This window comes from Homo sapiens, chromosome 14 (genome assembly GCF_000001405.40).
Source record: "Homo sapiens chromosome 14, GRCh38.p14 Primary Assembly".
Lineage (NCBI taxonomy): Eukaryota > Metazoa > Chordata > Mammalia > Primates > Hominidae > Homo > Homo sapiens.
The window spans coordinates 84,745,885-84,760,804 of record NC_000014.9 but is presented as its reverse complement, the minus strand read 5'-3'; positions in this window follow the sequence as shown (position 1 = coordinate 84,760,804).

The following is a 14,920-nucleotide window of genomic DNA, read 5'->3' as shown; positions in this document are numbered from 1 at the left end:
AAATATTGCAGACGCTTTCAACACAAATGTAATTCATTACAGGGAAATTCTTAGTATCCTTATGAAATGCCACATTATCAAAGAAATAAAGCTTAAAAGAACACGTAACCTGAGATTTAATTTTATGATGTGACCTCAGGGTAAGGTTGCAGGAATTAGTAAAATGTTGAAGGTTAAGCTGAGAATCATTTTTCACAAATGCGTCAAGGACTGTACCAGAGTTATATTTAGAGAGGGTTAGACTATGCATTCCTTGTATCTTTAAACAAACACAATTAAAACATCTGTATTAAATTCGGCTATTTTTGTGGAAGATGAAGATCTGAGTATAAACTAGAAGAGGGAATGACATTCTGAACTTTTTGCCTTTCTAGAATCTGAGGCTTGGTGAAATGTTCCCTATATTGTTGAACCCATGATTAAGTCTCAATCTCTGCTGCCATGGCTACTTTTCAAAAGTTCATTGTGAAAGCATTAGTTCGGTGAGGACAAGAACTGGCTCACATTTTCTCACTGAGTCATTCTGTCCACTTAATTTGGTACCACTTCTGGGGTGGTTGTTCACTGGTGGGCATTAGTATTTAGTATAACAAGGCTCATTCTTTGTGCCCACTCCCATAGATTCTTCCACATGCCTCTCTCCTAGATCTCCAATCTTGCTCTTCCAGCCAGGTCACTGACCAACCAGCTAAGCCATTTAAGCTATCCCAACAACATATTAGACACCACACAAAATCCTTGCCAGGGAATTGAGTGTCCATATATCAATGAATTCCCCTTGCTCTCTCTACTTCTTTTGAACCAGCACCCTTAGGATCCACTCATAAGGTTATCCTCAGGGTTCCTTTGCATACATGCCGGCCAGTCCTATAGCTCCTTTGGCAAATAATTACCTTCATATAACAGGCCTAGCTACTCCCCAGTTGAGTTTGTTGTGTTATCACTCTGATTATGGGAATATTACCCAGGATGTGAGATGGTGACAGATTCTTAGTAGTACCAGCATTGTCCTGTAATGCGTTGGTCCCTTTGAGGCCTTTGCATAATCACCAAGAAAAGGGGAGGATTCTTTCTTCCAATAGGGTGGGTGAGCCACTTCTGCAGTCCAGGAGATTTGGAGCAAACTGGAGCAGCAAGGTTCTTGAATGTGGAAATTTTCCCTTTTCCAGTATCTACATCTCTAGTCTTAGGGCCCTTTCCTTCTCTATCAGCATCATAACTTTGCCATATGAGTCTTCCCTAAGCTCATGATTTAGTACTTCTGATGTTCAGCTGTACCCATCCTTTAGCTGTCTGATTTTCGTCTGTGTCTCTCCACCACCTGTTGGAGAGAGATCCTTTATAAGTGCTTCTAAGGAGTCTCTCCAACTCTCACACTGTGCTTTTCCTTATTGATTGTTATATCCAAGCCTGCTAATTTTTTTTTTCATGGAATCAATGGTGTTTAGCTCTAGCCACCCAATCCCATAATCATTATGCTTTCTGTTTCTAAATAGAAATAGAAATAGAGATGAAAGCACCTCTCATTATACCCAAAATATTGTACTAGCTAGTGCTGCTCCTTTCATCTGTCCCCATCACAGCCCACCACATGTGAAAAATCCTATCAATTACACAGCTTTAATAATATTTAGCTTTAGCATTAGACTATCAAAACTCCATGCTTTATCAGGGATGGGGTCATAATTCCCATCCATCAAGTGAGAAATCAACTCCATAATCCCATATATAATATCTGCTACCTAGGACCATCCCAAATATCAAACATCTTAGGTCAGGTTTTCTAGGAGTAGAGTCTGAGCTGGTGAATCTTATTTAAATTATTCATTAGAGGAATGCCCTCAGGAAAGAGGAATGAGGGAAACAGAATAGGACACAGGAAAAAGTGAAACAATGATGTGGTCTTGGCAGGAGATCAGTTTTATTATGATAGTATGAGAAAATTATCGATGCTGGAGTACAAATAACGCCACAAAATCAGTCTCACATTTTGTTCCCTCTAGGGATCTGCACAATCTTTCAGTAGAAGTCTAATTAGTAAATGCTTTTGGCTTTTCAGTTCACTCCGTGTCTGTTGCAACTGCTCTGCCATTGCAGTGTGAAAGACAACATGTAAACAAATGGGCATAGCTGTGTTTCCATGAAACTTTATTCATAAAAACTAGTAGTGGACTGAATGTGAGCTACAAGCTAGTTGTACTTTGCTGTAATCTGCTGTAGGTAAAGCTGGCTCTCATTTGGCTGAAGAACATCTCTAAACAAGACTGTAATTGAGCTATTATTGGCCAACATTCCCAGCAGATGATGGGTAATGGTACACTGGCAGTGAAGGGGATCTGGGTAGGACACCATCAGAATCCACTGTATGAGGAGGACCAAGTGACTTCTGGGAGGTAGAGACAACTAAACTGATTTTTGAAAAGGAGCTGAATAAGAGAAAACATGAGCAAAGGCATAAAGATAGGTTATAGTGCCATGTATGCAAAGAACTACAATCAGTTTAGAATTAAATGTGAATGGTAGAAGATGAAGCCTGAGAGACAGATCAATAGGCTGTAAAGGGCATTATATATTATTCTTGGTATTTACCTTGTAGAAAAAGAAGAGGCACTGGGGAATTTAAAGTAGAGAGGTGAGATGACTTCGGCAGTGAAGATGTAGGGGACACAATCTTTTGTTGCTAACTCCATCTATTTATGTAGGAATTTTTAATCATTTACTATCCACAGTAATTAATAGGACTTGCTTATTTCCATTCTCTTTCAGAGCCAATGCATGAAGACTGAGATCCAGATTTGATGTTGCCCGCTGATGGATGGTGGCATATATCCTCAAAGTGACGTTCCAACAGTGAAGTGAGATTTGCATCTTTGATCAATATCCGTTTTTTTAATCTCTTGCCTCCTTTGGAATAGCAGCAGGTGTTTGAAAGATGTTTCTCTAGATGTCAGGGTAAAGTTTATAAGCATGACATGTAGGCATTTGCTATTGCTAAATGAAGCCAACTGGTCCAGACATAACCCACACCTTGGTCTACTTAGTTCCATGCTTTGGCCAATAACCAAATTCATTTTGTACCAAATCTCAGGAAACCATCTGTCCAAATCAGAGGTTGCTGTACTGTAAACATCTTCCTGTGATCTTTGTTGAAAATAAAATACCATCGAAGACACCTCCACCCTTTCTTTTTTGTAGCTTCCTTGCCTAAACCTGTCATTCTTCATTATTCAGACCAACGCTGAGTGAGTAGTTACTAATAGCATTTTAAGAATACCCTTCTGTATTCTTGTAGGCTGGTTTAGAGTGGCAAAATCCCAGAGGAAGGGAGAACAAATAATAGCTGTGTTGGTGTCCCAAGCTTAAGATGATAGTTGTTTGAACCAAGGCAGTCTCGGTGAGAGAATACTTAACTCAAATCTCTAGAAAATAGATCATGCAGGTAACAATGGTGACCTTGGAAAAGTAGATCAAAGTGTACACATTTTTTCTCCTTTTTTGTATGTTCCCAATGTCTACACATCTTTATTTATATAATTTATTAATGCAATTGTTACCTTGGTCAATATAAAATAAATTTGCTAGGGAATTGAGTGTCCATATATAATAAAATTCACTTTAATAATTTTTTTAGGCTGATCAGCTGTCTAGTTTTTAAACAGTCTATATGCCCAAGCATGTGGCAGTCATGTGGACTATAAAGTTATTAACATGATCTAACATTTATGTAATACCTCTACTCCAGGCAAATGACTTCAGGTCTTTCTATTGTATACTAGAATAGGAAAAAATGTATTAGCTATCCTTTCAAATCCTGAACAAATATATGTCCTGTAAAATTCTGATGTATAATAACAATGTGCTATACAGATATCAGTCCTCCAACCACCAAACTGTTTTTGTTTCTGAAATAAACAATGAAAATTTATCCTTAAAGTAAGTCAGTGCAGTACTCAATATCATACATATTCAGAGGAAAGTGTGTTTTCAATGACCAGGATCAAAGCATTCTCTAGGAGTCATGAATGAACACTATACTTGTGAGTTTGTATTGTGTACCAATATCTCGAGGACCAAAGTCAGAAAACTTATATAGAGGATGTAAGTTAAAAAATTACAAGATATCACTAAAAGTATATATATTAATTTTCCTGGTTAACACATAAAATAATGTAAGGCTATTTAGTGATCAATGCAGGAAAGAAAAAAGAATTGTTACTCTCATCTCTCAATTCAGCATTTGGTAATTTGAACTCTACTTCACATTGAAAATCAAGGCAACACCTTTAACTCATTGTCAAAATGAAAAAACCTGCATGCACACAAAGCAGCAATCTCAATTCTTCCCTCAATACTCAGGTGGATTCCAGTCTTGAATAGCAACTGATTGCTAACTTATAGCAAAGCATAATAAACTTGGAGCATACAGATCACTTCACAGTTCTTATTCATAGGCAATCTTCCTCCTTAGCCCCCACCAGTGTCCTAAGTTCATGGTTTTAAATTCCTTCTAAGGACATCTCATGCTTTCTCTGTCAAGCAACTAACTTCCAGACCCTATGGTGCTTGATTTTGTGTTCCTTTATGACCTATTGTAATAGGATCAGTTACTTTTTTCCCTTTTTACCTATTTATATATCCCATTCCCATATGGAGTTATTTGGGTTTGAATATATATATATATAAATAAAACAAAGTTAGTTATTGGTCTTTGCCTATGTTTTCAATAAAATCAATGGCATGTGAAATAGGTTTAGAAAGCATACTTGGCAGTCTAAGCCCAAATAAGAGGAATAAAGTAGTTGTAGAAACACTTTTTAAACAAAATTGCCTAAAAGGTCATCTGACATTTGAGGAAGTGGTATCTAAAAGAGAGAGTGCAGTCTGAATCATGAGTTACTGGACTAGAAGCTATGTCAAGTTTAAGCAGGATGATAGATAAAGGAAAGAGTTGATGCTTTATTTCCTGACATTTGCTTCATAGGGTCAGCATTTTTTAGTTGTTACTTTTCTTTAACTTCTTTATCATTGTTTCATTTTTCTACTGAGGAACTAGGTGAAAACTATATTTTAGCAAATAAATCTTTTCAAACTCTTGCTCTGTCATATGACACTCATCTTCCCAGGTCTTCCCCAGAAAAAAAAATGTTAGCATACATTAATTCCAAGTATAAGCCAACTGCCTTTACTCAGGGTGGATATGGAACTTGTATTAGTCTGTTTTCACACTGCTGATAAAGACACACCCAAGACTGGGCAATTTACAAAGGAAAGAGGTTTAATGTAGAACTCACAGTTCCACATGGCTGGGGAAGCCTCACAATCATGGCAGAAGACAAGGAGAAGCAAGTTAAATCTCATGTGGATGGCAGCAGGCAAAGAGACCTTGTGCAGGAAAACTCCCCCTTATAATGACCATCAGATCTCATGAGACTTACTATCACAAGAAAAGGACAGGAAAGACCTGCCCTCATGATTCAATTACCTACCACTGGGTCTCTCCCACAACATGTGGGAATTCAAGATGAAATTTGGGTGGGGACACATCCAAACAATATCATTCCATCCCTGGCCCCTCCGAAATCTCATGTCCTCACATTTCAAAACCAATCATGCCTTCCCAACAGTCCCCCAAAGTCTTAACTCATTTCAGCATTAACTCAAAAGTCCACAGTCCAAAGTCTCATCTGAGACAAGACAAGACCCTTCTACCTATGAGCCTGTAAAATCAAAAGCAAGTTAGTTACTTCCTAGATTCAATAGAAGTGCAGGTATTAGGTAAATACACCCATTCCAAATGGGAGACATTGGCCAAAACAAAAAGGCTACAGGCCCAATGCAAGTCTGAAATCCAGTGGGGCTGTCAAATCTTAAAGATCCAAAATGATCTCCTTTGACTCCATGCCTCATATCCAGGTTATGATGATGCAGGAGGTGGGTTCCCATGGTCTTGGGCAGCTCTGCTCCTGTGGCTTTGCAGGTTATAATCTCCCTCCTGGCTGCTTTCATGGGCTGGCATTGAGTGTCTGCTGCTTTTCCAGGTGCATGGTGCCAGCTGTCAGTGGATCTACCATTCTGGGGTCTAGAGGACAGTGGCTCCTCTAGGTGGTGGCCCAGTAGGGACTCTGTGTGGGGGCTCTGATTCCACATTTCCCTTCTGCACTGCCCTAGCAGAAGTTCTCCATGAAGGCCTCACCTCTGCAGCAAACTTTTGCCTGGGCATCCCAATGTTTCCATACATCTTCTGAAATCTAACTGGAGGTCCCCAAACTTCAACTCTTGACTTCTGTGCACACACAGGCTCAATATCACATGGAAATTGCCAAAGCTTGGGGCTTCCACCCTCTGAATCAATAGCCCAAGCTGTACCTTGGCCCCTTTTAGTTATGGCTGGAGTGGCTGGGACACAGGGCACTAAGTCCTTAGACTGCACACACCACAAGGACCCTGGGCCTGGCTCATGAAATCATTTTCTCCTAGGCCTCCAGGCCTGTGATGGGAGGGGCTGCCGTGAAGACCTCTGACATGCCCTGGAAATATTTTCCCCATTGTCTTGGGGATTAACATTTGGCTCCTTGTCACTTATGCAAATTTATGCAGCTGGCTTCAATTTCTCCTCAGAAAATGGGTTTTTCTTTTCTATCATATTGTCAGGCTGCAAATTTTCTACACTTTTATGCTATGTTTCCTTATAAAACTTATGCCTTTAACAGCACCCAAGTCACCTCTTGAATGCTTTGCTGCTTAGAAACTTCTTCTACCAGATACTCTAAATTACCTCTCTCAAGTTCAAAGTTCCACAGATCTCTAGGGCAGGGGAAAGTGTTATCAGTTTCTTTGCTAAAACATAAAAAGAGCCACCTTTGCTCCAGTTTCCAACAAGTTCCTCATCTCTATCTGAGACCACCTCAGCCTGGAACTTATTGTCCATATCACTATCAAGATTTTGGTCAAAGCCATTCAACAAGTCTCTAGGAAGTTTCAAACTTTCTCACATTTTCCTGACTTCTTCTGAGTCTTCCAAACCATTCCAACCCCGGCTTGTTACCCAGTTCCAAAGTCAATTTCACATTTTTGGGTATCTTCTCAGCAGCGCCCCACTCTACTGGTACCAATTTACTGTATTAGTTTGTTTTCATGCTGCTGATAAAGACATATCCAAGACCAGGCAATTTACAAAGAAAAAAGGTTTAATGGAGAACTCACAGTTCCATGTGGCTGGGGAAGCCTCACAATCATGGTGGAAGGCAAGGAGGAGCAACTTCCATTTTAAGTGGATGGTGGCAGACAAAGAGCTTGAGCAGGAAAACTCCCCCTTATAATAGCCATCAGATCTTGTGAGACTTACTATCACAAGAAAAGCATGGGAAAGAACTGCCCCCATGATTCAATTACCTCTCACCAGGCCCCTCCCACAACACATGGAAATTCAAGATGAGATTTGAGTAGGGACACAGCCAAACCATATCAGATCTTTTAAATCTTTAATTGGAAAATAGGTGTTATTGTTGCATTCAGAATAACTCCTGTTTAGTCCATCTCAAAGTCAAAGCATTGACACTGCAAGTAGAAAAGAAGTAATACTACTTCTTACCAAATATATAACAGAAAAAGTCAGAGGCCAGTGTCAAAGGTGTGTCAATATGTAGAGAGATTCCTATATGCAGAAGTTTTGGATCCAGACCGGAAACTGCGTCATTGCCTGCCTGCTCTAAAGGGAACGAGGTCAATGATAATGTATCAGATGATTAGCTTGGATAAGACCAGGCTTCAGTGTCCATATTTTGGATAAGCTAATAAGCTCTTAATCCTCTGTCTCCCAGGCCTCTGTTTGGATGGTATTATATGATATGCATAAGGGGTTTATTTATCTATTTTATTTATTTACCTGATATATTTATTTATTTATTTGATATATTTATCTGATAAGAAGGATGACTCGTGTCTTATTTAGCCTTCAATGTTGTGTCTCTTCATTCTTACACTCAATTCTACTGCTTGTGTTCCATTCATTTACTTCATAAGACCCAGATTGACAAAGAGAAGGAAGAAAAGACATATGACTCCTATTAAAACTCGTCTATTATCCCAGAGTAACTTCTACAATAAAGTAATGGGAAAGAATATTGTTCAACTGATCAAATCCATATTTTAATTTAATTCTAACTACAGCCACTTACAAACTTTAAAAGTGGCCTCCACACAGACCTATATATTCAAAGACAAGCCACCTAAATGTGAAAATATGTGATTGCTGTGCAAATATTAAATTAGGATGAATAATTTAAGACTTAGCATGCTGCTTTTGAAAAGTTGCCAGGATAGGTCAGGTATTCCTTCCTAATTAAAATATTGATTGAAATATCATATCTACTTATGGATTTTATGACAAAAATAACAACAAGAAAGTGGTTTTCTGAATTTAGTTCATAATATTAAGTCTGTTTACTTTGAAACAGAAAAAAAGCTAAGACATACTTCAATAATAGTCCTTAAGTATAACTTATCTTTTTTGTTTCATCTAGTAGAAATAACTGGTTTTTTCCTTTATAAACTTAACACTTTACAAAACTATTATAAACCTGATGAACTACATATTGACATCTAGACAATGCTTGAAGATTTTTTAGTTGTCTTAGCTGGAGGTCTTAAAGACATATATGAATTCTTTAAATTGCCTTTTTATATGAAACAAACTCTTTCTCATTCATTTTTTAGTATTCCCAATTGTATGATTGTATTATTTGGCCAATAATTGTATTATTTGGCAATTTTACAGACACACATATGGTGTGTGTACGTGTGTGTGTATGTGTATTTGAACAGTGCTTTTCAAAAGAACATTTGATGACAACGGAAATATTTTGTACATGTGCTATCCAGTGTGATAGCCACTTAGCTAACACGTGGCTATGGAGTACTTGAGATGTGGCTAGTTCAAGTGAAAAACAAAATTTTTATTTTTATTTTATTTTAACTAAATTCAATGTAAACAGCCACACATAGCTAGTAGCTACCACACTGAAGACTGCAGCTTTACAGCATGACTTTAGATTTTGATTACCTGTAAGCTTCATTGACATAAGTGGTTTTATTCAAGTGATATTTAAACTTTAACTCTGGAATAGAAAGCAAGCAGAATTAACCTTTAGTGTCAGTTCTGAACTGTCCTATAACATGGATTAATTAATACATTTTGTTTATAAGAAATATCATTGGTTTCCTTTCTCTTTTTAGATTCAAAGTGAAGAACTTAAATGTCTATGGAAAATGACAAATTCTTAATACGTTCTGAACTTTACTGAAGGGAGAAAGATTTCCAGGTGCTGTTTAAAATAAAGCTTACCTAATTCTTTGCCCATTAGTTGGGAATGCGGAATGGTGAGGTTTACGGAGCAGTTCTTCCCCTTCAGCTTTAGAGATGATCCCCTTTCCCCAGCTGTTAGAGAAACTGCTCCCTCTCCACTCACCTTACAAGCACAATATACTGGCTGAGCACGATTCACTTCTGGGATATAGAATGATTCTAAAGGATCTGCTTTATAGTTTTCTTTCTCTCTCTGGAAAAGTTGTACTCAGAGAACCAGAAAGACTAACTCAGGATAGAGCTAGAATAGAGTGAAATCAAAGATCATTCTTCTTCACGTTCGAGTTAGGGAATGGGTTCGTGCCTTTCCACCCTTTCCACACATACGTCTTTCATATGGTGGTGGGAAAATTGACTCAGGATTCACTTTCAAAACATTGCATTCCTTACTCAAGAAGCTGATTCTTTTTTTGTACTTTAAAAGTCCTGAAATTTCACCCTGCGGTGTTAAAAGTTAGTCACTGTTCATTGGAATGTACTCGAGAGCTTAATGATTAGAATTTTGTGTTTTCTTTCTGTCATCCTGGGCTTAGAGCAAAGTACCCTGGATAAATGTTGACTCAGCTATATCTACTCCTTAAATTAAAGTGCTTTACTTTCTGTATCCCAACTTTTTAAAGCAAATACAGGAAACAACACAAGTGAGACAATTTCTGCATGTGCCATGGTTTCAAAATCAATAGCACTTCAACTGCCAAACAGGCTCTTTAAACTTTAATGAAGAATGGATTAGTTGGTAGAACAGGAGAAATTCAAGCCTATCACCAGTTATAGTAAAGGGTCCTTGCAACATTTCTTGAAACCTATTAAGTAACTTTTTTTGGTGCCCAGTGTTTCAATATCCCACATTTTAACGTCAGAGGTAGCTAAATTATTTCAAAGGAAAAGGCTGTCTTTTCATGATCACATACAAATCATTACACTGGAAATTCACAGACATTGCTGCAGTCCCTTCCTCCACCAGAGACTGCTGAAAAGGAAATTAGATTGCATTTTGAGTGAGCAGGAGGTCAGTGACACTTTATCTCCCTGATTTCATCTTTCATTGTCTTAAAACTACTTAAACTAGCACCAGACAGACAATGAAAATTAACATTTACATAGTAAACACTAAGATAATTCTGTAAGGAAACTCCTGCCTACACAATCTTAGAATAGATTTAGTTGCATAAAGAAAATAGCCTACAGTCAATAATAATTTATTGTACATTTTAAAATAACTAGAAGAATATATTTGGGATGTTTGTAACACAAAGAAATGATAAATGCTTGAGGTGATGGAAATTCAGTTCACCTTGATATGATTATTATGCATTGTATGCCTGTATCAAAATATCACATATACCCCATAAATACACACAACCAAGATATACATGTAAAAATTAAAACTGCAAAAAGAAAAAAGCCTGAAAACCAGGTATGAGTTTAATATTCTATTGTTTACATTTGAATCTAATTGAATTTTTTAAATTTTTTTAACTCCAAAAGGCCAACCAACTACATTTATATATATGTATATGTATATGTATAATTATTTTATGCATTTACTTGAAGAAATAAAGACATCACTTTAAACCAACAAAACTCCTTCACAGTTAATTTCTGGTCACCCAAGACACAATCTGATTCATTTAAAGGAATTTCTGTAAGTGAAGTTTTCACAAGGAAGTAAAGAATGAGTTGTCATTTCTGGGTCTGCTCATGTGATTTCCATTTATTTATTCATTGAAAAGATATTTAAATGGCACATTCTACAGGACAGATACTCTTGCAGTATTGTGTAAAAGGAGACAAATATAGCTGATCCCGTGAATATTCCATTCTAAGGGCAGGTATAAACAATTATATAAATAAAATATATAATGTATCAGTCAAGATTACTGTCACGATGAAAAATAGAGCAAGGTAGAAGGTAAGGGTATCATGAGCGTGGTGGTGGGTGGCTGCAATTTTAAATATGGTGACCAAAAAATTCCTCCTTGTGAAAGTGGCATTTATGATGTGAATAAAGAGAGGATGTGAGTCTTCCACACATCTAAAGAGAGACTATTCCAGGCAGGAAATAGCAATCGCAAAGCTCTTGAATGGAAGCCTGATATGAATACAGAATAGCAAGAAGACCAATGTGGCTGGAGCTGACTGAGCAAGAAAGATGGGATTAGGGGTGTCCGAGAGATGAATAGTTTGCCGGGGGAAGGCAGAGTTTATGCTTAGAGAGACTTTGGCCTTTAATCTGAGCCAGATCAGGAGACATGGAAGGATTTTTCTTTTTCTTTTCTTTTTTTTTTTTTTTTTTTTTTTTTTTTTTTTTTTTGAGACGGAGTCTCGCTCTGTCGCCCAGGCTGGAGTGCAGTAGCGCGATCTCAGCTCACTACAAGGAGACATGGAGGGATTTTGAGCAGAGTAGACCCATGACTTGACTTCTGTTCTAATAAACTAACTTTACATGCTGTGTTAGCAACAGGCTGTTAGAGAACCAAGGCAGAAACCACTGCAGTAAAATCCTAACAAGAGATGACACTTTTTTGAACCCACATCATAGTTTATAGAAGTCGTGAAATTCTGGATATATTTTGAAAATAGAGAAAACTTAAGTAGCAGACACATTTAAAGTGGGATATTAGCCCAGGAGCTAATCTAAGGTTTTTTCTGATCTTTGTCTATGCAATGCTTCTCAGACTGTCAAGTGGAGATGGTAGGTAGGAATTTAAATATATAAATCTGTAGTCAGAGCTGAATTCTAGGCTGAAGATTTAAATTGAGAGTCATCTGTTTATTTTAATCCATGAGGTTGAATGGAGAGCTCTCTGAGCTAGTGCTTGAAGGTAGCAAAGAGGAGAGGATCAAGAGTGATCCCTGGGTCACTCAAGCTTTTAAAGTTCAGAAAATCAGAAGACAAAAACCAATGCAACAGAGAAGGAGCGACCAGCCCAGTAGAGTCTATTGAGCTGAAGGGAAGAGAAGAGGGTGTTTCAAAAAGAGGGGAATGATCAACTGTGTTAAATGCACTGATAAATCAAGTACTGAGGGTTGAGAACCAACCTTTGAAATTAGCAGCTTATTAGAGACACTGACTACTGCAGCCTTGGTGAAGTCTGGTGTTGAAAGCTCATTAGAATATTAAAAGGAGCAGAGAAATGAGATGGTAGCTGTAGTGGCTTGTTGGATCAAGAAGTTTTGGGGTTTGTTTTTAACACAGAGAAAAAGAGTAGGATGGCTGAAGGAAATTTCTGAAGATATTAAAAAGTGATATCTAGTGCACAAGTGGAGGGGTTGGGCTCAGATAAGAGCAAGTACACAGCATGCATGATCACAGGAGGGAAAGCCAATGCATGGGCACCAAATGCAATGGAAGGAGCTGGGAACAATTTTCTGTTTGCTTATTTTTTCTCAGTGAAGATGGAATTACATTTATCAGCTAATGAAAACAAGAGCAGGAGCTGGAAATTTGAAAACCAATAATTATCCAAGGCAAAACATTTATGATGTTGCTTGGATTTCCCCTACAAATGAATTTCAAGAAACACTGTTGATTCCTCTTAAACTTTTTAAAGTTTAACATACCTTGAAAATTTTCCATTAGAAGTTTAAACATGGCAAAGAAAAATTTTTGGCATAAGATGGACATGTATAAAGTTTTTCATTACTTTAAAAATACATTCAATGGAATCTAAATAATACAGCTATTCCAAACCCTTCATTCACCACTTAAAAATGTATAGTATAAACAATATTTTCTCTATCAGAAATGTTAACATCATTTTCATTTCTCCTTGAAAAGGAACTCCAAAAGTTTAACCTATGGAGATATGCTTAGGCTTGAAAATATTTTGTTTCTCACGCTCTTATACTTCTCTATAAGAAAACTAAGTACACAAATAGAAATGTTTTAAAAAAATCTTACTGTGCTATAACTCAAGAGTATAGACATTCTCCTGGAATAAAAGAACTTTGAAAGTATTCCTATTCAATTGTTAAATGTGACAATAAATTATATATTTATCATATACTATATGTATATGTATATATTAGTATATATATGTATATATTAGTATATGTATATATGTATGTATACTAATATATGTATATATTAGTATATATATACACTAATATATACTATATTACATAACTATCAAACAGTGTATCAGAGCATTCTGGAAGGAGACACCATGACTGGGATAAAATCACAAGAGGTTTCTTGGGGGTGAAGTGGGGATGGGGTAAATAGCTAACACCTGTGAAAAATAAAAAGGAGAAGAAGAAGCATTGGGTGGGAGAGCCTCATACCACAGTGTATATCTGACAAAGTCTTGCCAAACCAATGGGAATAAAGAGCAAAAATTTCCCATGAGAGAAAGTCTGCACTAAGCAGCAAAGGCCAAGCCCCAGTAACCATCTTTCTCAGTCAGTGGCTGAGGGCTGCCTAGGATAAGCATGGTTTTTGCTGACCATAAAGCATCTGCTCCTGAAAGCACTGGCAGCTGCAGGCTGACCAATAGCTGCAAGTTGTGATGCTCAACAGCAAGTTCCTCCATGAAAAGAGATTCAAGCAGCACTTTTCCGTCACTGCCACAGACATAAAAGCTAAAATGTTACTGAAAATATGTTTTTGACAAAGTGGTCAGGTTTTTTGTTTCAAAGTCAATGTATTATGTATGGATAAATATTACTTTATTATTAGAATGATTTAGGTTTCAGTATCCATTACATTTTTGATGCTGGTAAACTTTAAGAAACCGTGTTCACATAAATAAGTGTATTTGTACCTCCTTTCAAATATGTATCAAACGTCAAATAGTTTTAAATAATTGAGAATTGTATCTAAAAATCTATCTGCTGACAGCTCAATTAGGCATTCCTTTAATTTTGTTGTAATTAAAAGGATTGGAAAAAATCCATGTTGCAATTTCTTTTTCGCAAATCATTAGTGTCCTTCACTTTCTCAGTGTCTAAGAAATATTCTAAAAATGTTTCACCAAGATTCATCAAATAACAATAAATATATCTATTTTGTAATCGAGACTTGCCATGTTGAACCTAAATCATGAGAAAAAAATTGAAAAATTCCAAATATTTTATTGTAGTCACCCCTTCTCTAACTTAATAACTTTCCTTTCTTTTCATGTTTGTGTTTTTGTTTTGTTTTGTTTTGTTTTTGAGACAGAGTCTCACTCTGTCTCCCAGGCTGGAGTTTAGTGGCACGATCTCGGCTTACTGCAAACTTCGCCTCCCGGGTTCAAATGATTCTCCTGCCTCAGCCTCCCGAGTAGCTGGGACTACAGGCGTGTGCCACCATGCCCAGCTAATTTTTTGTATTTTTAGTAGAGACAGTGTTTCACCATATTAGCCAGGATGGTCTTGATCTTCTGACCTTGTGAACCGCCCACCTCGGCCTCCCAAAGTGCTGGGATTTTAGGTGTGAGTCACCACGCCCGGCTGTGTTTTTGTTTTTAAGAGAGACACTCTGTCACCCAGGTGCTACAGTGCAGTGGCGTGATCACTGCTCACTGAAACCTGGAACTCCTGGGATCAAGCCATCCTTCTCCATCGGCCAAG